The sequence below is a fragment of the Homo sapiens genome, chromosome 15, assembly GCF_000001405.40.
Source record: "Homo sapiens chromosome 15, GRCh38.p14 Primary Assembly".
NCBI classification, from domain to species: domain Eukaryota; kingdom Metazoa; phylum Chordata; class Mammalia; order Primates; family Hominidae; genus Homo; species Homo sapiens.
In genome coordinates this window covers 38,386,697-38,388,115 of record NC_000015.10, presented here as the reverse complement: position 1 = coordinate 38,388,115, position 1,419 = coordinate 38,386,697, and the positions used below count along the sequence as shown (strand labels likewise).

The 1,419-nt window shown below is 36.1% G+C and overlaps 1 annotated feature.

Annotated features, from left to right (window-relative positions):
* Window positions 914-1,097: a silencer, noted in NCBI's record as "fragment chr15:38679220-38679403 (GRCh37/hg19 assembly coordinates)". NCBI's record gives its function as "represses an EF-1alpha promoter that drives an FKBP-Casp9 reporter gene in an ReSE screen in K562 erythroleukemia cells {active_cell/tissue: K562}" and the evidence as "EXISTENCE:reporter gene assay evidence [ECO:0000049][PMID:32094911]".

Genomic DNA, 1,419 nt, shown 5'->3' with positions numbered 1-1,419 from the left:
TATTGGGCAAACAATTAGAAGATGTTGCTTTTTTTATTTTTAACAAATGGCTTCCAGACTCAATAAAATTTTTTCTGCTAGAAAGATTTAAACAGTTGAAAAAACTGTAATTCCTAATTTGTAACTGTCTTGCAGATGAGACTTTGTAAGTGTTAACCTGATACGTGCAACAACAAAATCTTAAAATGATGGAAATGTTTTACCAATGCTTCTTTCAAAATTCTCTCTCCATAGCACAAAGTTCTTTTGAAAAGTAGTCCCTTTCTTACTCGCTGTTAAACTTTATATTTACCTCAAAAGACTAGATCAAGATGCTTATTATTTACAAAGAAATCTGCAAGGAAGCATACTATCAATAACTCTATAGCATCAGAGAAAACATCAGCAAATTTGGTACCCTTTGATCTTTCATAAAGCAAAAGCTCATGTTTCATCTTTCCCTTTCAATGAAATTTTGCTTCCAGCTTTGGTAGACTAGGTTGTCTCAGAAGTATTTTCCCATTTAAAACAATTAGAAAAATTAAAAAAAATTCTTTTAAATTTGTTTGAAGGTATTAGAGAGCTACTAAGGTGCCAAGAAATTGTGGCCCAAGATCCAAGAGAGCAAGAAAGTGCAGAGAGGTGAGCACAGCACTTAGAGCTGCTTTTCCTTTGTAGGTAATTGACAGTCTAAAAAGTAATAGCTGAAAGGCTGAATAAGCTTTCAACAGATTCACAGGACTCGGGGAAAAATCAGAGGAGGGGCCCTGGAAATTATTTCAGGAAATGAATCCTAAGAGTAAAGCAAATTAGAAATAAATCATTCCTCTCAAAGACTGAAGCTCAGTATCAAATCATTTCAATTCTTGTTTGAATTAAGATGATTTGTAATTGCTAGCACTCCTAGCCTAGATACCTGCTTAAGCAAAAGTAATCTTCTTGGAGGAAGATAATATAATCCAGAGCTTTAAAATATTTCTTCAATGTCAAGATCTCAGTAAAAAAATAAATAAATAAATAAAAAATCAGGCAGATCAGACACAGTGGCTCATGCCTGTAATCCCAGCACTTTGGGAGGCTGAGGCGGGCAGATCACTTGAGCCCAGGAGTTCAATACAAGCCTGGGCAATATGCTGAAACACCATCTCTACAAAAAATACAAAAATTAGCTAGGCATGGTGGCATGCACTGCAGTCCCAGCTACTCAGCAGGCTGAAGTGGGAGGACATCCCGAGCCTGAGATGCAGGTTGCAGTGAGCCGAGATGGTGCCACTGCACTCCAGCCTGAGCAACAGAGTGAGACCCTGTCTCAAAAAAGAAAAAAAAATCAGTCAGGCAATTAGGCATATAAGCAGACAAGATGTAATGGAAAATCAAGAAAAAAAAACACAGACACAAATATACAAGTAATCCAGATAATAAGGTTATTAAATAAATATA